Source organism: Homo sapiens, chromosome 10 (assembly GCF_000001405.40).
Source record: "Homo sapiens chromosome 10, GRCh38.p14 Primary Assembly".
Classification (NCBI taxonomy): domain Eukaryota; kingdom Metazoa; phylum Chordata; class Mammalia; order Primates; family Hominidae; genus Homo; species Homo sapiens.
In genome coordinates this window covers 72,520,724-72,543,977 of record NC_000010.11, presented here as the reverse complement: position 1 = coordinate 72,543,977, position 23,254 = coordinate 72,520,724, and the positions used below count along the sequence as shown (strand labels likewise).

The 23,254-nt window shown below is 36.4% G+C and overlaps 1 protein-coding gene across 24 annotated transcripts in view; it reads left to right on the top strand.

The window, feature by feature from the left end:
* The window catches only part of MICU1 (mitochondrial calcium uptake 1), a 258,740-nt gene that overhangs the window by 82,102 nt on the left and 153,384 nt on the right, over positions 1 to 23,254 (top strand). For 17 of the 24 annotated variants that reach the window (NR_199811.1, NR_199809.1, NR_199810.1 and 14 more), the window contains one exon: positions 10,189 to 10,232. Coding sequence is in view for 18 of the 24 variants with exons in the window: in NM_001441228.1 (NP_001428157.1) it covers positions 10,189 to 10,232 (44 nt within the window). In the remaining 6 variants the exon portion in view is untranslated. Of the gene's footprint in view, positions 1 to 10,188; positions 10,233 to 10,815; positions 10,984 to 12,264; positions 12,519 to 19,231; positions 19,244 to 19,991; positions 20,177 to 23,254 lie in introns of those variants that run through there. The other 7 variants (NM_001441219.1, XM_047424440.1, NM_001195519.2 and 4 more) reach the window with 5 other exon arrangements.

Sequence of the window (23,254 nt, the reverse complement as noted above, 5' to 3'; positions counted from 1 at the left end):
CCTTTTAGTTTTTACTTCTTCTTTCTTTGGAGGCAGAAATTAGGCATAAGACAATATGAGGGGTGGTCAGCATAAGACAATATGAAGAGTGGTCTCCTCCCTTACCCTAAGTATCCTTTTTTTTTTTTGAGACAGGGTCTCGCTATGTCACCCAGGCTGGAGTGCACTGGTGCGATCTCAGCTCACTGCAAGCTCTGCCTCCCGGGTTCATGCCATTCTCTTGCCTCAGCCTCCAGCTGGGACTACAGGCGCCTGCCACCATGCCCAGCCAATTTTTTGTATTTTTGGTAGAGATGGGGTTTCACCGTGTTAGCCAGGATGGTCTCGATCTCCTGACCTCGTGATCTGCCCACCTCAGCCTCCCAAAGGACTGGGATTACAGGCGTGAGCCACCACGTTCGTCCCTAAGTATCCTTAATAATAATCTTACATACAGTACTTTATTGATTGATGGATTGATTTGATTGATTGAGATGGGGTCTCGCTATGTTGCCCAGGCTGATCTGGAACTCCTGGGCTCACGTGATCCTCTTTCTGGGCCTCCCAAAGTGCCAGGATTATAGGTGTGAGCCTATAGGCCCTATAGCCTATTATAGGTGTGAGCCATGCCTGGCCCCTTAGAGCACTTTTAATTTGGTTAATAATTTTTCACATGGTTATATACATGGAATGTATTTTAAAAACATTTTTGCACTAATGTTTTTTTCCAAACAAGATAAGTTCCTTCAGTAAAGGTCCTCGTGTTCTACTGATAGCAACAAGAGGCAGAAAAATTCTAGGCAGACAGGGCAGGTCCCTGACAAAACCCCACCTTCAAGCCAAAAAGCCTGAAACCTGCAGCCCAAAGTGAGAACTTCTATTCCAGTGGCCTGCTCAAATGTTGCCTTTCCTAAACTACCCATGGCCCACCCCCGTCCTGTGCCTATAAAGACCCCAGACTCAGTCAGAGAAGCAGCTGAACATTGGAGAGAAGTGACTTGACTTCAAGCGAGAGCTTGATGGCTTGACTTTTTGGTGAAGAGTCCAGCCAGAGACAGCTGGACTTGAGAGGAAGATTACCTGCCCATCCCATCCCTTTTCCAGCTCGCCTTCCTGCTGAGAGCCACTTTCATTGTTCAGTAAAATCCTCTGCATTCACCATCTTTCAATTTGTTCGTGCGACCTCAATTTTCCTGGACACCAGACAGGAGCTTGGGAGCCAACAAATGCAGATACCGAAAAAAGGCTGTCACACTGGCCCTTTGCCCTTGCTGGCGGAGGGCAGCTGTCCCACATAATGAGGCAGAGGGCCCGCTGAGCTGTTAACACTTAAGCCATCTGTGGATGGCAGAGCTAAAGGAGCACTGTAACCACCCTCTGGGGCTTCAGGAATTGCAGGCACCCCCATCCAGATGCTGCTGCGTGGCCCGTACGGCGTTTGCTCCTGCTGGCACCCAAAAGCAGTTGGCTGGTTCCTGCACTTGCTTGCTCTGGTTCCTGCACTTGTTTGCTTGCACACTCCCTCCCGCAACAGGTAGACAGGGGCAGGCTAAGCAAACAAGGCACCCCTGTCATGAGTCCTGTGAAAAAGTCAAGATAATATCCTGCTCACTCCTTTTGTTTTTAATCCTCTGTAGTGCTGCTTAGTACAGAGCAGGGATTGGCCATCTACAGCCAACTGCCTATTTCTGTATGGCCCATGAGCAGAGAATGGTTTTTACATTTTTTAAATGGGTGAAAAAAAATCACAAGAAGCAGCTTTGTGAAACTTGAAAGTGACATGAAATTAAAATTTCAGTGTCCATAAAAAGAGTTATCTGCAATCCCATTTCACTCCCATTCTTATTAGAGATAACCACTGTTATTAATTTGGTGTTTATCATTTTTGTTGAAGACTATAACATCATGTATATTCATTGTCTTTCCCTAGGGGATGATTATATTTATTACTGCAGCATGATTACTACATTTCCCTTACTTTTGTATAAGTTTTATAAGTTTCCCTTACTTTTATGTAAAGAACAGGTAGCCGTTCTTTTATTTTCACTGCTATAAGTTGTGGATATTATTTGTATACATTTATACAAATATGCCAGTATATGATTTATTAGTCAGTTATTGCTATGTAACAACCAACCAGAAAATGTCAGTGGCATAACAAACATTTATTTAGCTCATGCTTCTCTGTAATTGCCTGACAAGTTCTTGTTGCCCACTGCACAGATAGAGCTGATTAACTGATACAGCTGTATTGCAGTAAAGAGAGTTTAATTAATGCAAGGCCAGCCAAGTAGAAGGACAGGAGTTTATTATTCATAAAGTCAGCCTCCCTAAGGACTGAGAAGCTAGGGTTTTTATGGATAGTTTGGTGGGCAGGGGACTAGGGAATGGGTGCTGCAGATTGGTTGAGGATGAAATCACAGGGGTGTGGAAAACAGTCCTCATGCACTGAGGCTGCCTCTATGTTTGGGCCACAGGACAGGTTCAGTCATGAGTCATGGGTCTGGGTGGGGTCATTCAGTTGCCAGAATGCAAAAGTCTGAAAAATATCTCAAAAGATCAATCTTAGATTCTATAATAGTGATGCTATTTATAGAAGCAGTTGGGGAAGTCACAAGTCTTGTGACCTCTGGGCACATGCCACCTGAGTTGTAAGGGATTAGAGAAACTAAGCCTACATTTTAATGGAATTCAGGCCTCTTCCATAATCCTAATCTTGTGGCCTTTTACTAGTTTTACAAAGGTTGCTTTGGTCGCTGAGCAAGGAGTTTTAGGGAGGGACTATTAGCATTCTTGCTTTCAAGTTAAACTATAGTCTAAATTCCTCCAATTCCCGGGCTCTTGCCCGGGAATGAGTAAGGACAGCTAGCCTATGAGACTAGAAGCAAGATGGAGTCAGCCATGCTAGACTTCTCTTTCTGTCATAATCTTTGCAAAGGCACTTTCATCTGCAGATCCCATGAAGTGCTCTCTGCTGCTCTCAGCTGAGCTCTGTAGATAGGCTAGAGGTTGTCTAATTAAGCTAGGATAGCTCTGAAAGTTTGTCAGCAGATTTGTCAGCCTGCTTTATGTGTTTATAACTTTTTAGACCACTGGCCCATCCAGGATATATTTTTCTTATAGATGGCCAAGATATAAGAAAGAAAGCCAACCTCAGAAGTCCATTTTAAGGATGCTTATGTCCCATCTGCTAATATCCCATTGGCTAAAACAAGTTACACAACAAAGCCCAATGGCTTTTCCATAGAGGTCAGTGGGAAGGAAGTAAATATTTGAGATCAGTAATCTAATCTACCATGCCAGTTTTTTGTTTTGTTTTATTTTAGAGACAGGGTCTTGCTCTGTTGCCCAGGCTAGAATGCAGTGGCATGTTCATAGTTCATGTAACCTTGAACTCCTGGGCTCAAGTTATCCCCCACTTTCACTTCCTGAGTAGCTAGGACTACAGGTGTGTACCGTCACACCAAGCTAATTAAATTTTTTTTTTGTAGAGACAAGTGTCTCACTGTGTTTCCCAGGTTGCTCTCAAACTCTTGGCCTCAAGTGATCTTCCCACCTCAGACTTCCAAACTGCTGGGATTATAAGTGTAAGATACCACATCTGGCTCCATGCCAGTTTTTTTTTTTAATCATTACAAACCATACTGCAGTGAATATTCTCCTATATGTGCCCTGGTGCATATTTGCAGTAAGTTATTTTCTTTCTCTTTTCTTTTTTTTTTTTTTTTTTTGAGATGGAGTTTCACTCTGGTTGCCCAGGCTGGAGTGCAGTGGCACAATCTCGGCTCACTGCAACCTCCATCTCCTGGGTTCAAGTGATTCCCCTGCCTCAGCCTCCCAAGTAGCTGGGATTACAGGCATGCGCCACCATGCCTAGCTAATTTTGTATTTTTAGTAGAGATGGGGTTTCACCCTGTTGGTCAGATTGGTCTTGAACTCCTGACCTCAGGTGATTCACCTGTCTCGGCCTCCCAAAGTGCTGGGATTACAGGCATGAGCCACCACGCACAGCCAAGAAGTTATTTTCAGCATATACCTGGAACTGGACTTGCTAGCCCATAGAGTACATTCCTCTTCACATTTGGTAGACGTTGCCAAATTGATTTCCAGAGTTGATAGAATAATTTATCTTCTCTCCAAGAATATATGAGTTTCTTCCTCTGCACTGCTGCCAACACTTGGTATTATCAGATTTAAATTTTAACAAACTTATGAAAGTAAATTATTGTCTCTTTGTGCTTTTTCTACTCTCTATCTGCTTGATCTTTATTATTTCCTTCCTCCTACTAATATTTAGTTGAGTTTGTTCTTGTTTTTCTAGTTCCCTAAGATGCAATATTAGGTTGTTTATTTGAGGGCTTTCTTCTTTTTCAGTGTAGTGTTTATTGTTATCAACTTCCCTCTTAGAATTGTTTTTGGTATATTCCATAGCAAAAACATATTGCGTTTCCATTTTTGTTTGTCTCAATAAATGTTTAAAATTTTCTTTTTAATTTCTTCATTGACCCATTATTCAGGAGCATATTGCTTGATTTCCACATCTTTGTAAAGTTTCCAAAGTTCCTCCTGTTATTTATTTCTAGTTATATATCATTGTGGTCAGAAAAGATATTTGATACAGTTTCAGTCTTCTTAAATTTGTTAAGACTTGTTTTGTGGGCTAACATATGATCTGTCCTGGAGAAGTGTTCATGTACAGGTGAGAAGAATGTGTATTCTGTAGCAGTTGGATGGAATGTTCTGTAAATCTGTCTTAAGTCCATTTGGTCCAGAGTACAGTTTAAATCTGATGTTTCTTTATTGATTTTCTATCTAGATGATCTGCCCGTTACTGAAAGTGGGATGTTGAAGCCCCCTAATATTATTGTATTGCAATCTCTCTCTCTGTTTAGATCTATTAATATTTGCTTTATATTTAGGTGCACTGAGATTGGGTTCATATATATTTACAATTGTCATATCTTCTTAATGAATTGACTCCTTTATTACTAAATAATACCTTCTTTGTCTCTTTTTACAGTTTTTGACTTATACTCTATTTTATCTGGGTATAGCTACTCCTGCTCTCTTTTGGTTTCTATTTCCAAATATCTTTTTCCCTTTACTTACTTTCAGTCTGTTTGTGTCCTTACTGGTGAAATGAGTCTCTTATAGGCATCATATAGTTGGGTCTTTTTAAAAAAAATTTATTCAGCCATTCTATGTTTTTTAATTGGAGAATTTAGACCATTTATAGTCACTGTTATTATTGATATGTAAGGACTTTATTATAGCCATTTTGTTCCTCATTTTCTGGTTGTTTTGTAACCCCTCTCTTCCTTTTTTTCCTTTGTTACTGTCTTCTTTGTCTTCCTTTGTGGTTATTTTCTCTGGTAGTATATTTTAATTCCTTGCCTTTTATTTTTAGAGTATCTATTACAGGATTTTTCTTTGTGGCTACCGTGAGGCTTACAAAAAACATAATTATAACAGATTATTTCAAGCTGATAACAGCTTAACTTTGATCACAGACACACAAAAACTCTACACTTTAAAGTGTTTTAAATATTTTTCTGGTTTTATTTTGCATTTCACTAATGACAAGTGAGGCTTATCATCTCTGCATGTTATTGACTACTTACATTGCCTTTTCTATGAATTGCCTGTTTATAGTCTCTGTTCATTTTTCCATTTGATTATCCTTTTTAGTAAAAGTAGTTTATATATTCTCACTAAAATCTGTGATATACATTGCAGATCTCCTGTCCTAGTCTGGGGCCTGTCTTTTTATTTTGTTTGTGTTGATTTTTAATGCACAGAAGTTGTCAATATTGATATTTTCAAATGTTTCAGTCTTCTCCTTGATAGTTTGTACTGTTATTTTTAACTGATAATCTGATTATTGTAATACTGTGGGCATAGTGAGGTAAGGGCCTGAACTAGTGACAACTGAAAGAAAAGAACTGAATAATTATGCAAGAAAATAAGTGTAACTGAGTACTAATTTCTCCACCCTCAGAACTCCCACAGCACCCTTTTATTGAACTAATTGTATGCTCCCTTGTAATGTTAATTATTATTCTAATTTGTAGATCTTGAAATGACATATTTGATTCAGTTGCCCTTGTGTCTTTTGACAAAATGAGTTTGACAAAGTCAGTTGCCATTGTCTTTAAACAAGTCTTTTAAATGTTCACTCTGAGGCTTAAACTGAGACTATTCTTAACAGTATGTGTGTACCTTTACACATACTCTACTTTTACATATACTCTACTTTTACACACATATTTATAGTATTTTGGGTGTGGATTCAAGAAAAGAGGCAACTGCCATAATTAGAAGATTATTAGAGTTAAAATAAAAAAACAGTCATTTAACCTTCTGAGCCTTGGCTTTCTTATCAATAAAAAGGCAAAGGTAGTGTTTATATCACACTATGAGCATTAAATTAAATGACTGAAAGTTCTTTGAATAAAAGTTTAAAAACCATAGGAAACATCTCAGTGAAAACAACATAGCTATAGTCTGGTGTTTCTAAGCTGGGACCAAAAGGTTTGGGTAGCAAACTGAAAGGGAAATGTCATATGGAAGTCACCTAAGTATTGTTTTTAAACTACACATGCTATTTTTTCTCCTTTCATTCTCCATGCTCTCCCTGCCCCCAGTAATTGGGCCTATTAGATTTTCTAGAGGAGTAGTTAGGGACAATAGCTTGAATTACTTCATCCATCCACATTCCCCACACTCCACTTCCAAACATTTTAAGAACTGATCTAATCCAACCATCTCCTTCATTTGGCAGGTAAATAAATCAAAACATAACAAGGTGAAATAATCATTTCTTTCAACTTGAAATAATGAAAGTCTTGGCCTACTTCATGTCAGTATTTGCTTATAAAATGACAATAATTCTCAGTGAGTGCCAGGTTGTCCTCCCATGCCCCTTCCCCCTCACCATTTTTTTAATATAATGAAGAGCATAAAATATAAAACATAAATGTGTTCCATCTTCTCCATCTTCACAGTTCATGTCACAGAAGTAACCACCTTTAAAATTTTAAGTTACATTTTGAGTTATTCTGGGTATTGCCCTGATAACCTAAAACCTGTGCTGTCTAATACAGTAGCCAGTAGCCATATTTGGCTACTGAGCACTTGAAATGTGGCAAGTCTGAGTTGAGATGTATTATAATTACAAGATACACCCCGATTTTGAAAATGTAGTATTAAAAAATGTAAAATATCTCATTAATATTTTCTCTTGATTACTACTTAAAATGATACTATTTGGATATATTCAGTTAAATAAAGTATTAAAATTAATTTCACTTGTTTCTTTTTGCCCTTTTAAAATTTTAACGTTATTTTTGTCTGGGCACGGTGGCTCACGCCTTTTATCCCAGCACTTTGGGAGGCTGAGGCGGGCGGATCATGAGGTCAGGAGATCAAGACCATCCTGACTAACACGGTGAAACCCTGTCTCTACTAAAAATACAAAAAAAAAAATTAGCCGGGCATGGTGGCACGCACCTGTAGTCCCAGCTACTCAGGAGGCTAAGGCAGGAGAATCGCTTGAACCCAGGAGGTGGAGGTTGCAGTGAGCCGAGATCATGCCACTGCACTCCAGCCTGGGGGACAAAGCGAGACTCCATCTCAAAAAATAATTAATTAATTAATTAACCTTATTTTTAAATTGACATAATAATTGTACATATTTATGGGGTACATAGTGCTGTTTTGATACATATAATTTATATAGTGATTAGATAAGGGTAATTAGCATATCACCATCAAACATTTGTCATTTCTTTGTGTCAGTGCCTTCCTTCTAGATATTTGAAACTGTATAAATATTGTTGTTAACTCTACAATGCTATAGAACACTAGAACTTGTTCTTCCTATCTAGGTGTAATTTTGTATCCTTTAACAAATCTTTTCTAGTCCCTCCCATTTCCCCTATCCTTCCCAGCCTGTGGTACACCCTGTTCTACTTTCTACTTATATGAGATCGACTTTTTCTGGCTTCCACGTAGGGATGAGAACATGCGGTGTTTAACTTTCTGTTCCTGCCTTATTTCATTTAACATAATGTCAGCCAGTTGCATCCATGTTGCCTCAAATGACAGAATTTCTTCCTTTCTACCTTTTTAAAGATGGCTGTTAGAAAATTTTAAATTACACATGTGACTTGCATTTGTTATTCACACTATATTTCTGTTGGACAGTGCTGATGCAATTAGTAAGCATACATCTGCCTTAGTTGATGTACCAAGTTTTACTTGTGAGACATCTGATTCTATTCTGATTCTCCTGCCTTTGTAAGGGACCAGGAAGATTTTTTCCTGAAAATCTTTAGGATTTTTTTATCCTTGGTATTCTGAAATTTCACAAGGATACACTGAAGTGTGGGTAGTTTTTTTTGTTCAATATGCTTAGAACACTTGGTAAGGTCTTTTAGTCTGTCTCTCTATAGTTATGAGAAAGTTTCTGCTAGTATTTTTTGGATTATTTTCTCCCTGTTTCTGAATGAGAAAGGTCCTGTAGGATACTAAACCTCTTGGATTGAGTCTCTGTTTTCTATAATTCTATCTTATATTTTCTATTTTCTATCCCGCTGTCCTTTGGCAGTAGTTTGGGAGGTTACCTTATCCTCATCTTTTGACAGTACATTAAAAAATAGGGCTGGATGCAGTGGCTTATGCCTGTAATCCCAGCACTTTGGGAGGCTGAGGCGGGTGGATCACCTGAGGTTAGGAGTTCTAGACCTGACCTAGTAGCCTGGCCAACCTGGCAAAACCCCATCTTTACTAAAAATACAAAAATCAGACAGGTATCGTGGCACACACCTGTAATCCCAGCTACTTGGGAGGCCGAGGCAGGAGAATCACTTGAACCCAGGAGGTGGAGGTTGCAGTGAGCCAAGATCATGCCACTGCACTCCAGCTTGGGTGACAGAGCAAGACTCTGTTTCAAAATAAATAAATAAAATAAAATAAAATAAAATAAAATAAAAAATAGAGGGAGATAGGCAATCAAAGTTTTAATTGTCTAGAACTCTTTCTTGTTCTCTGTTCTTTTATCAGAAGCCTGTTCTGATAAATATCAGCCTTTATGACTTACACTCTCTTAAATATCTGTCAGGTTGCAAATTAAAATTGTTTCTAACATTTCTTTCTGTGTCTTAAATTATCTGTTTCTTTTACAGTCAGTGGTTCAGTTTGTTTAGGGCTGGCTTCTGGAAGATGAGGCACATTTCAGATAAGAAGAATGTATAACCAAATGTTTAAATTAGAAATGCAAAAAGCTTTTTCTGGGAGCAATGATAATCTGATGATTGTAATACTGTGGGCATAGTGAGGTAAGGGCCTGAACTAGTGACAACTGAAAGAAAATAACTGAATAATTATGCAAGAAAATAAGTGTAACTGAGTACTAATTTCTCCACCCTCAAAACTCCCACAGCACCCTTTTATTGAACTAATTGTATGCTCCCTTGTAATGTTAATTATTATATCCGTATGTCTTTCTAACTAAATTGTGACTTTTCAAGGCAAGGACTGTTTCTTATTCATTCATTCTTTTACAGATATTTATTGATCAAGCACTGTTCTAAATGCTGGGGATAAAGCTATGTGTAAAGACAAAACTATCCCTGCCCTCAATGCCACCGAATATAGTCACTTAATTTTTCACAGTGCACAGAATCCAAAGCTAGGTATTCCCAAGTAAATTTTTAAATTTAACCTAATTTTAAAAGGTAATGTTAAGATGGTCTGTTTGTGTCTGTTTAGGTGTACTGCAATAGTTTTTTTTTTTTTTTTTTGGTGTTTAATTATTTTCTTTGAACTTGATAGAAAAAATTATTATGCATTCAGATTAAACTAATATTCCTTACCTAAATGAAAAGTAATATAGCACCTTGATATAATGAAAAGAGCACCACCTTGGGAGGAGTCCAGAGTTCTAACTGGACTCTACTGTTGAATAGGTTTGCACATTTTTACCTTCTTAGAGCCTTACTTTTCTGATATGTAAAATAAAAGGGTTGGTATCTCTTAGCACTCACACTTTAAATCTGAAAGTGGGGCAAAATATTCATTCCTGTGGCCTTTGAATAAATGTTTTGTACTTTTAACTGAATGACTGGAAACAAAACCAAGAGCTGTCATTTTATAAATTTCACTTGAGTTATTATCAGTAGCTAAATGTTTTTTCCTTTTCTTTTACAGACTTGGGTCTGGATCAATATATAATAAAACGCTTTGATGGAAAGGTGAGCAAACTATGACACTTCTATACATATATCCTATCATTTACTAAGAAGATTTTTAAGTTCCTCTATAGTTATGTTTGAGAAATCACTGAATACCTGTTTATCTTACCAAAAGAGCATGCTTAGGTTAGGGGGTCTGTGCCTCTACATACCTCTACAGAAAGAGGCAGAAGGTTCTATATTTTTCCATGTAAGGTAACTCTCATGTATTGCCTCCTGTTTATATTAAGGGCTAATTCAGTGTTTGTTGACTTTTGAATGTTAACTCAATAGTCATCATAAAGATTAATAAGCCCCCCAATACTGTATTGGCATTTATTACAAAACGCTTCCCTGATTTGACCTTTCTCAGACTTTATGATAGTGTCTAGCAATAATCTTAACTAGAAAATTACAAAGGTCCTTGTAGTGCTTTTGTAATAATTATGAAGACTGCTCCAGATTTGCCTATAAGTTTGCACTATACTTATTTTTAATTATTTATACCTGAATAAATAATATAACAAATTATTCTTAGGTATAGAAAATGAGACTTTCAGTTTTATTGTCTCATAAAGCAGTCAAACATGTTTTTTCCTTTCAGGCCAGATTCTCCAAAAAGAAAATATTACACAGGGTCAGAAAGAAAAGTAAAGGGTCAATTTTACAGAGGAGGAAGAAAGCACTTCAGAAAGAAGAAAGAACCAGGCATGGTTCTACAAAGCACAATGAACAGGAAGTCAGAAGGACAATCATGGAGTGGCTGGAAAAGGCAGGATCACAAAAGAGGGTCTAGATGGGGAGAGGTCAGGGTTAGTAAAAACTGATTTTGCAGAAATGTGCCAATTCCTGCATTATTACATAAAAGTCCATATCCTGGTAAGGTGGAGAGATAAGTGTTGAGCTCTTTTATACAAGTGAAAAGAATGAGTAGCTGCCTTAAGATTTGGGAGAGATCTCAGCTAAGGCCACCTGCCTAAAAGTTACCTTTCCTATTAAGGTGGCACAGTGCCTTAAAATGCCTCCATCTGTGAATATCCTCTTTTTAAAGTCACATATTCTAAAAGAATGATCAAAAAGGAAGAGTGCTGAACTAGATGTTAGGAGACCTCGGCTCAAGGTCCTAACTCTGCTTTGGGACAGCTTCATCTTTTCTCTGATCCTTGGTGTCTCTGCTTTATCTATGGTAAAGTACCCTATCCAATGTGAGGACTTACTGCAACACTTCTGATTTCAGAGTCTTTGGAGGGTCAGGTCCCTATCTTACCTGTTTTTGTGTCACTCAGAGTCCAGCATGGGCCTGGCACACAGGAGGCAACAATAAATGTTTAATGACTTGCAAAAAATTAACTACAGTAGTCAATCACATATTCCTTGGTGGAGGTCTGACTCATTAAGTCAGTAATAACTTATAGCAAATTCATTTTAATAAATAACTTTTTTTTTTTTGAGATGGAGTCTCGCTCTGTCGCCTGGGCTGGAGTGCAGTGGAGCAATCTCGGCTCACTGCAAGCTCCACCTCCCGGGTTTGCACCATTCTCCTGCCTCAGCCTCTCGAGTAGCTAGGACTACAGGCTCCCGCCACCATGCCCAGCTACTTTTTTTGTATTTTTAGTACAGATGGGGTTTCACTGTGTTAGCCAGGATGGTCTCAATCTCCTGACCTCGTGATCTGCCTGCCTCGGCCTCCCAAAGTGCTGTGATTACAGGCGTGAGCCACCACACCAAGCAATAAATAACTTTTTTTGGTTATTTGGAGAATCACTTGAACCCAGGAGGCAGAGGTTGCAGTGAGCCAAGATTGTGCCATTGCGCTCCAGCCTGGGCAACAGAGCGAGACTCCGTCTCAAAAAAAAAAGATAAAGGACTAAAAAAAAAAAAAATAAAACCTTATGTAATGAATAAATTCATTTATTGTTTGATCAGTTTAAAAGTTTTCCATGTTTTTTTGTTATGTATGAAGTCTTTCGCTTGATAATTGTAACTGTCAGTACTTTCTCAACTGTCAGTCTTTTCATTTTTCTTTCTTTTTTTATTTTTTATTTTTTTTGAGATGGAATCTCGCTCTGTCGCCAGGCTGGAGTGCAGTGGCACCATCTCAGCTCACTGCAACCTCCGACTCCCTGGTTCAAGCGATTCTTCTGCCTCAGCCTCTTAAGTAGCTGGGATTACAGGCACACACCACCATGCCCAGCTAATTTTTTTATTTTTAGTAGAGACAGGGTTTCACCATGTTGGCCAGGATGGTCTCGATATCCTGACCTCATGATCCGCCCGCCTTGGCTTCGCAAAGTGCTGGGATTACAGGTATGAGCCACCATCATTTTTCTTTAGATCTTCATGACTCTTTTGTTCTCTCATCCAGAAAATCTTAATTCTTAAGTAACTGCTTCTAGAATATATGAATTCTAAGACAATTTTCTGTTAAAAAAACAGATTTGTGTGTAATGATATTATAGTAATTTTATGCATTATAGCCAGAAATGTAGTTAGAAAGCTAAACACCTAAGAGGAATTTCCTTTTAGACTTGCTTTGATTTTTAAATGGATAATTTTTTTCCCTCTCCCTCTGTTTTTTTTAATTTGGAAGATAAACTATTAAATCTTAGAGAAAGAATTATTTACTCCTATTGTCTTAGCCCCCATTATCTTAACTTTTAGCACACCATTTAACAAAGTCCAAAATTTGACCAGTAACAAACACTAGCTTATTTTATTGCCTTCTAATTGAATTAAACTTCAGCCTTTTTGTCATTGAAAGTAAGAACAAATATAAAAATAATATTTTCCTGGGATGTTTTAAATTTCTACCTGAATAATGGAACCTCCAGATGCAAAATAGGAAAGAGTGGTGCAACTGATATTGACAAATAATTGGATAGTTATTTCTTGTTTTGCTAAAATATTTTTTTCCTGATCTGTTTAATTAACTAGAAGGTTCCCTGTAAGAAGTAAATAAGACATTACTATTTCAACTGATAGTCAGTGAGAACTGAATTTAATTAAGCAGCTTTTGAATTTGTAGTTGAATCTTTTTCCAGAGCCCATTATTACTTTATGTTAATGGACACTAATACTTTTAGAATACTAGAAATTTCCCTTGTAGAAAAGTTATGAAATACATTATTATTGGCACTTGCATAGTCTATTGCATTTCCAAACCATCTACTATCATAGGTCTCGTATAAAGAATGGTAACAGCTATGGTTACCACTGGTTTTAAGAATATGTTTCGTAGATAAGTGATATTATTTTGAAAATATGAGACTAGGTTTAAAAGTTTAAAACTTCAAATCTTGAAAGAGTTCGGATTTTCTCTTAGAAGACATTTGAAAATTATTATAAATAGCTTATTAGCATTATAGAGATGGTAATACAAAATATATTCTGGCATTATTATTATTATTATTATTATTATTATTATTATTATTTTGATATGGAGTTTCGCTCCTGTCACCCAGGCTGGAGTGCAATGTCGTGATCTCGGCCCACTGCAACCTCTGCCTCCTGGGTTCCCAAGCGATTCTCCTGCCTCAGCCTTCTGAGTAGCTGGGATTACAGGCATCCACCACCACACCCGGCTAAATTTTTTTGTATTTTTAGTAGAGACGGGGTTTTACCATGTTGGCCAGGCTGGTCTTGAACTCCTGACCTCAGGTAATCTGCCCACCTTGGCCTCCCGAAGTGTTGCGATTACAGGCGTGAGCCACCATGTCCTGCCAGCTTTTGTTTTAATGTAATATGTCATAGATTCTTTCTAAATGCACCTTCCTGTGTTGAATCCTTCTTGTGAAAAGAAAAAAAAAAAAAAAAAAAAAAAGCACCTTCCCCTAGTATCCATGTATTCTGCTAACAATTTGTCAATACAGTCATTTCATGAATTTGGATTATTTATTTAATGAAAACTATATTTTTTCTTTGTTTCATTTATCATCTTTTATGATTTTACCATCTAGTTGGCATATAAAACAAAGCAATTATTTCTAAGTGGAGGCTTTATTTTACATTATTGTTAAATATTTCTTTCATGTAATCATTTAGTTGCTCTCTTTTATTTGCATGATTTATTTCAAGTGGTTTGTAGCCTTCTTTATTTTCCCATTTTCTCTTACCCCTTTTTTCCTTCAGCAAACCAAAGATAGAAATTATATTTTGTATTTCCTGTTTCTATTGCATGTAATAGACAACTTTCTCCACATCAAACATCACCATGTTTTTTTATAAAGTCACAGAATAAAATTTCTTGGTATAGATGAAATTGTTCCTTAAGCAAGGAATACCAATTTCCGCAACGTTGGATTCAGTCCCCTTATGTCTTCTAAAAGCTATAGTTTATACACTATTTTCAAGCAATAAAATTGTCTATTGAAACCAATTGTTCATTATCATCATACCACCATGTATTTCTTTTTTAGAGAATAGATTTGTTATTCTTTCCTACCTATTGATTCCCCTTTCCCCCAACCTCTCCCTGAACGTTTCAGAAATACTGCCTCTGAATTGAGTTTTTCCATTATTTGTAACTACAGTCCCCTCAGAACCTTGACAGTCTCTCAAACTTGGAAGAAAAAATTTATGTGTATTTTATTTCCACCTCCTTTATGTTATCTACAAGAATATTTGTTTACATGGAACAAGAAAACATTTTACATCAAATAAAAATGAAATATTATCCACATTTATCTGTAAAGAGATAAAAGTATAGTCAAAACCAAGAAAGGGAAGTATTGATTATAGTGTTTATAACAGACAATATGATTAGTAGAGGAACAGATGGAAGTCATAGTTGAAAATCAAAGCTTTAATATTACTACATTCTCTTTTACTAGGTGAAAGTTCTTTTTGAAAATATTAACAAATTAACTTTAAAATACCATTCCTTTTGGGGGAAATTGTTGGTTCTTCTAAAGAGAATATGAACACATTTTTTCCTATAATGTAATACTTCTTCGTGCTTTATTCGAGTTCTAATTATTTACTTTATTTCTCAGATAAAATAAGACCCTAGAATAAGGTCAAGTGTAGTTTTACTCCTTGACATATATAGTAAGTTGTTAAGAAATTTTCTGTCTTTTAAGAGTTAAATGTTTTGAAGATTGAGGAAATGTAAATTACGACATAGGGTACTAAAAGTCTCATGGGACAGGGTTTGATGAATTCTCCACATTTATTTGAACTACTCTAGTCAAATTTAGATAACAGGTTAATATGACATGTAATTCTGCATTGTTAATTAGCCATGTCTTTCCCTCTCTCTCTTGGCTTCCAGAGACCTGAAACCACTCAAGTGGAAATTCTTGGTTAATTAATATATTTATTCAGGTTTTTGGCTAAATATGAATATGTAAATATAATTTTATTAGTCTTTCTTGTTATCTGTGTTTTCATTTGCCCTATCCCATTTTTAAAGTAGGGTATATCATTTCTGCTTTCTTTTTCTTTATATAGGGAAATTCTTGCTTTAAAAACACTGTAACAGATGCCAAGAGAATAAAAGTATTTCCTTGAAGCCAGAAGTTCCTCACAGATATTTCAAAGTCACATGTTACTTTGGGCATGATGACTGGGCCCTTTTTTAAAACCTCATTTTCACTCATTGGTTGTCAGTGGTTTATTTTTTTGGTTTGAAGTGAAATTTCTGGGCTAGGCCCAGAGGCTCAGGCCTGTAATCGCGGCACTTTGGGAGGCCGAGGCAGGTGGATCACTTGAGGTCAGGAGTTCAAGACCAACCTGGCCAATATGGTGAAACCCCATCTCCACTAAAAATCTAAAAATTAGCTGGGTATGGTGGTGCACACCTGTAATCCCAGCTACCTGGGAGGCTGAGACAGAGAATAGCTTGAACCTGAGAGGCGGAGGTTGCAGTGAGTTGGATTGGCATCACTGCACTCCAGCCGGGCAATAGAGCAAGATTCCGTCTCAAGAAAGAAAAGAAAAGTGAAATTTCTAAATGAAAAATGCTTGACTATATTTGTCTTGTGGGAATTATCGTCAATAATAAGAAGCTTTTTGAGTGCTTATTATGTTCCAGGCTTATACATAATTACTCATTTAGTGCACACAACCACTATCTTAAGCTGTCTATTTTTATCATCATTTTACGGATTGAGAAAATAGGGGCTGGGCACGGTGGCTCATGCCTGTAATCCCAGTGCTTTAGGAGGCTACTTGAGCTCAGGAGTTCCAGACCACCCTGGGCAACATAGCAATAGCCCTTCTCTACAAAAAATACAAAAGGTTGCCAGGTGTGGTGATGCATGCCTATAGTTTCAGCTACTCAGGAGGATAAGGTCGGGGGACTGCTTGAGCCCAGCAGGGAGAGGCTGCAGATTGCACTACTGCACTTCAGCCTGGGCGACAGAGTGAGACCCTGTCTCAAAAAAACAAAACAAAACAAAACAAAAACAAAAGAAAAAGTACAGAAAAGATAAGTAGCTAGCTTAAAATCATATAGCTAGGATTCCAAATTCTCTTGAACACTATGTGATACCACCTTCTGAATGTCTAATCCAGTTGTCTGTATGACCTTTTATTAAAATTTTACTGCCTTAATACTGTTTGCTCAAAAAAAAACCTTGATGTTTGTTTCTTTTTGCTAAGAGTTGAAGTTAATCTTTTCTGCTTTGATAAAGTACAGCTAGAAATTCATACTAACCTGAGAAACCACATAACACTTCATTTTATAGAAAGAAAATATGGGATATATACATTTTAATACCTGAATTTAAAAATCAGAATATCAATTTTACTGTTACTGGCTCCATTATTGTTTCATATACCATGAGTACCACTTGACATCTTCAGAAGTGCTTTCTTTTTTTTTTTTTTTTTTTTGAAGCCATTACTCTTAAAGTAAGCACTGTCACCTGTATTTGAAAACTTGGATCTTTGCTGATTATAATCAAGGTTTTTTTTTGAGCAAACAGTATTAGGTAAGGTAGTAAAATTTTTAAGAGGTCGTATACACAACTGGATTAGACATAGGAAAGGTGGTATCATGTAGTATTTAAGATAATTTGGAATCCTGTCTCTACAATTTACTATTATAAACTAAACAATTTATTAACTCTTTCAAATATTGATTAATTATATGTTAAATATAGCATCATTTGAATGGAGCTGCTCATTATAGTCTTTAGACAAGCAAAATTTAGGATGTAATTAATTTACTGGCTGGGCGCAGTGGCTCATGCCTGTAATCCCAGCACTTTGGGAGGCCGAGGCAGGCAGATCACTTGAGGTCAGGAGTTCGAGACCAGCCTGACCAACATGGTGAAACCCTAACTCTACTAAAGATACAAAAATTAGCTGGGCTTGGTGGCAGGCGCCTGTAATCCCAGCTACTTGGGAGGCTGAGGCAGGAGATTCACTTGAACCCGGGAGGCGGAGGTGCAGTGAGCCAAGATTGTGCCACTGCACTCCAGCCTGGTCAACAGAGTGAGACTCTGTCTTAAAAAAAAAAGAATGTAATTAATTTGCAAAAGTGAATTGAGGAACAAATTCAACATTTCATATCCTTTCACACCTGCTGGAATTTTGTTTTATTTTTAGTTACAGATTTTGCCATCTTCCTTCTTTCCCATCCAAAGTTCTTTAAATTATTTTTAAAACATTTACTCAGTTTTAGCTCCTCTTTCAAATTAGCAACTTTAGTTCTTTTTTATATACCATAACCCTAAAAAAAAAAATCTGGCTTTGGTATCTGAAATATTTTCCAAGGCATTTCCATTTTGAGTATCTCAGTACTCTGTTTGGCAGCTGTGTGTAAATGGTTAGTAGATGTTATAAAGTATGCTGAATTGGTATGAAAAACATAGTCTTGTGGATTGCTGAACTTCTTTATGTGTAATAGAGTGGGATGAAGAGTGTGGACTTTGGATATAGACAGTCCTGTATTTAAATATAGGCTCTCCCACATAACTGATGGGTAACCTTGAGCAAGAGACCAGTTAACCTCTCTGTCAGTTACATTCTCAGTAAAATTGGGACAATAGGTAAAGTATCTAGCTCTACAAATTATAGCTGTTTTGCATGACTTTGAGCCCTTTACTCAGTTTAAGAAAGGAGTTCTCTGCTATCATATATATGATTTTCTTTCTTCGTTTACTTGAAAAGCTGCAGACTAGTATACCCTCTGCGTAATTGTTCTCTCCACAGTCCTTTCCTTCCCAGTTTAATTAGCTATAAAAATCTCCTGTGCTATCTCTGTAATGAGCAACTAGCCCGGGTTAAATACCGAGTCCATTAACTAAAGAGAGGCCCCCAGTTTGATTTCACATGTCTCAGTTGTCCTGTGTTCACAGTGATTCATCTCATTCCTGTGCCGTAAAATCCCTTGGGCTCTGTCACATAAGTTCCAGCTGTAGGCTTGTGAATTGTTAATAGCATCCATTTTTCAGTCAAGAAATTTTACAATGCTATTCAGTGTGGTTAGAATAGGATGGTAAATATAGGTCAAATTTTATTTCCTGGTCAGTGAAGTTTATTTATTGAAAAAAATCTTTAAAACCATTTGATATTTGAAAATAGTTTGGAGTGGTACCCAGCTAAATTAGCTAACAACAACTGCTTGTCCAAATGCCAGCCTTCAGGATGACTGCTTTTTTTTTTTTAATACCAATGTGGGTATCACTTTATTTAATGCAGCATAATTTTGGAGGAGACCTTTTTCTAAGGAGCCATTATGTACTCTTTCTTAGAGTAGTTACTAATTATCTGAACTCATCCATATTTGATTGCCTATATTAATATGAGTGGCAAAGCAACTATTTGCCATGAAGTTAAAAAAATATTATATATAGAAACAGTAATGAGACATCCTTGTTTTGTTTTGTGCCTAGCAGATAATATCTAAAACATTTCTATGTATTCCTCATTTCCTACTTCCAGGTGTTCAGTGATATTATTACAGGTTTTAACTGTTTCTTTGTATATTATGTTTTGTGATATGTATATTTGATTAGTTTGTTCATATAATCAAACAATGTCAATGTTTTTTCTTTTTCTCATCTTCTGATTAGGATTTCTGGCAGGTACTGACTCAGCAGCATGTGCTTTAAATTACTTAATGCTCCAAAATCCATAGTAATGCTTCAGGAACAAAGGTTCAGCGCATGATGCATATGTCCTTGCCCTGCTCCCTTCAGAATGATTTCGTTCCTGTCACTTTAAATTAACATACTTTATCTTTAATATGACAATCCAAGCACTGCACAAGTCCCAGAGAATTTGATACCCAGCATGATTTAAAAGGAAGTTTTAACATTATGTGTTACACAAAAGGTTAAGAAATTTTGTTGTAATCACTCTTGTTAAGCATAAGAGATACTTAATTAATTGAGTCACTTAAATAGTCTTACTTGGAGGCCGGGTCTGGTGGCTCATGCTTGTAATCCCAGCACTTTGAGAGGCAGAGGCAGGAGGATCACTTGAGCAACCGGGAGTTCAAGACCAGCCTGAGCAACATAGCAAGACCTCATCTCTATGAAAACATTTAAAAGCAGTAGTAGTCCTAGCTACTCAGGAGACTGACGTGGGAAGATCGCTTGATCCCAGGAGTTGGAGGTTGTAGTGAGCTAAGATTGTGACACTACTCCAGCCTGGGTGACAGAGTGAGACCCTGTCTCTAAAACAAAAACAAAAAAGTCTTATTTGGGATATTATGTTCCTACTTGAACTGTAACAGGACTGATGAGACAACAGTAACTTCAAGTTAAAAATTAATCTTTTTTTCTTTTGAAATTTCTTACATAATAAATACAAATAAGCAGTTGCTTGGTTGCACTTTGCTCAGTAAAATGGCTTAAGGGGAAACAAATGGGACACCTAGAAAGACTTTATTATTTTGCTTTTCTGAGCTAATCAATGACTTTAATTTGGAAAAGCAACTAAATATTTGGAGAAAACCATGAAAAGAATATATACTTACAGACGGGCCAAGGAGATCTTCAAGGACACTCCTAAAGGTACTTTTTAAATTGATCTTTGAAGGCTTGGGCTCTTTAATGGTAGTTTATAAATTATTAAAATTTATTCATTAAAATATTACTCTCACATTTCTGGTGGCTGGCAGTCTTAAAAATATAAATTAAACTGAGTTGTAGTAATTAAATATAAATTAAGCTGAATTATAAACATCTTTTGGTTTAAAATAACTAATATAACTAACGAAGACCACAGGGTGCTCTTTATTTTTACAGTACATTTTTTCTATACTTCCTTTGTTTGAAAAATGGGGTGTAATTTTTGGTAGTCCCTCTTACCAAACCCTCAAATTAGGTATCTTATTATTAGTACAATGGATTATCTTCCTAAATACCTTTGTCTTTAACTGCATTCTGAACCAAACCAACAAATACATTAAAAATTATGTCAGAATAACGTATAGACGATTCCATTATCAATGTTTCTAATCCTGGGAATTCTATTTTAGAACAGCCATGGCACAAACATCATACAGAGTACCGAATAGATCAGATGAGATACTAACACCTGTGATTGAGGCCAGCCACTTCCGGTTCTCTGATTATGGTAGGACAGTTTGTAGAGGGTAGCTAAAAACTCTTCCTCTCCTTTAATAATTGTATGGCTTACGGCTGGAAGATTTACAATGGCTGGACTTGGATAGGTGTCCTTACTAATTAGGAATAGATAAGAGAGGCAGCAGTTGGTAAGTGCTTAAAAGTCTCTGGAATCTGCAGCATTAAGTAGTCAACCACACTAGGTGACAAAACAGCACCAGTCTTCTTTAAACTTTCACTGTTTAAGGTAGTGTCCTTGGTTGATCAGGGATTCAAAATCAAGCTTTTCTGCATTCTTAAGTCTATCTTATGAATAAACTTTTTACATTAAAGAATAATAATAAACCTTTTTCTTAGGTAGTGGGAGAATTGTTTACCTACATTGTGTTCTATGAGTATCACTCATTTTGGTGACACTAGTATGAATCCTTTAAGCTTCCAAAGGTCAATGAACAGTTACTTTGTAGAAGAGGCATTTCTTGCTTGCTTCTTTGCAGTGACTTGTTCTTTGCATGCTAAGTTTCTATTGCCTGTGGAAAGTCTGGGATTGTTTTGTTTTCCTGGTAGCATAGAATGCTGTTCTTCAGATGCAGTTTATTAATGCTGTGAAATACTTAGACTGCTGTGAGGAGTATCCATAATGTCTCTTTCCAGTCTCTGAGTTCCACCACTACTAAAGTTTGTTAATCTAACCCATGTGTTTGATTATTCAAGTTGAGAAAATAAATAATAATGTAATCATTAAGTGTGCCAAAGGAGGGTGTAGTTTACTTAGTTGTCTCAAATATTCAGACTCCTATTAAAATATCTTTACATCCATTTTTATTTTAGATTATGTTGTGTTTGAATTTGGGATCAATGAACCCATTTGATTTATCATTGTTGATTTGAAAACATAAACATGACTAACCATTGCATTTCTTACACCTTCATCTTTAGCTTTTTCATCATAAAACAAGATTCAAAAATCACTTTGCTATCAGAGAACTTTCTTCAGTTCCAGGCCAACTTCTTTTTTCTTATATTTTAGCACATTCTAGCATGCTTAAGGTCACATAAATAAAGTTCTATAAGAGTATACTAAACAAGTTATTTCTCCTTCTCTTCTGGTAAAATGAGTTCTCAACTTAGCCTGACCATCTATTTATAATCTTTGGTTGTAGAGAATGTGTGAGGATAGTCCTTTATTTGCATATTTGTTTTTGGCATGATGTATTTTTTAAAATTCTAAACTTGAATGAAAAACTTCACCAATTACAGATTAATCTAACATTTATTAATTAAAAATTATAAAGAACATTACACTCTTGAAGTGATGCACATTTCAAAATGATTGAAATATGCATTTGAGTAAGTGAAAGCCTTAAAAAAAAAGTGCACCTGTATCATTGGCTTGGACTTTCCTCTTCAACTTCAAGTTAACTTAGTGGATACAAGCTAAGCCCCAAGGTAAATATTTTATGGTAGTGAACTACTTCAAAAATATTCAGTCCTGATTAACATTTTCCAGAAATTGTGAACAATATAGATACCCAGTGTGTTCCTGTGCAGTTGATACAATGTAACATATAATGATTCATGACATGGGCTCTGGAGTCTCCTGCCACTTAATAGTATTGTCACCTTTGGCTACTTATGTGACTTCTCTAACCCTGAGTGTTCTTATCCATAAAGTGCAGATAATAGTATGCAATAAGGACTTAAAGAGATAATGCAAATATAAAGTACCTAGCACAGTGCCTGGCATTTACTAAAGAGAATAAATCAAATGAGATGCTGACACCTGTAATTGAGGTCAGCCACTTCCAATTCATATACTTGCAGAATATGCGAAGTATAATGCTTAAGTTTTTCATGGTCTTTAATGTTGTCTTTAATGGTCATTGGTGCTTAAGGGATACCTATAAATGTTTGTTTGCTTTCAAAATTGCTTTTAAAGTCCTTCATCAACACGGTTTCTTGGGAGGTGATAGTTACTAAAGCAGTTTAGATCAAGGTTGTGAACGGTGATCCTCAGAGTGAAACTTTAATTTTTGTTCTTATGATACATTTTTTTCTTATACAAATTTTTTTCCAAGTGAAAGAAGGTGAAATCACTATATTGACTTATTTTTCAAGATTTTTACTTGAGATTGTTTTTACATTAAGTGATAGAGAAACTTTTTATAACCCAAGTGACTAAAAACAACACTGCTGCTGATCTCAGGACTTTCTTTTTAGCATTGATCCATTTGAGTGGCCAAAGTTCAAAATTAAATTCTTAGATTTAGGTAGCAGATAATCAAGTCATAAAACATAGATTCCCCTGCTCAAAGCTGCTTTGAAGCTAGTATGCAGAAATAACATGGTAGAGTTGAAGATTTTCTCCTTCTAGAGTTTTGATAATACCTCGTTCAGATACTGAGGATTAAAACAAACCTTTGCAGTAAAGTTGTATCGTTTCCTTAAAGTTAATGCCATTCCAGTAGACTTTTAAAATGTTTTATTATTGCTTTTTAATCAAATCATCTGCCACTGTTTTTT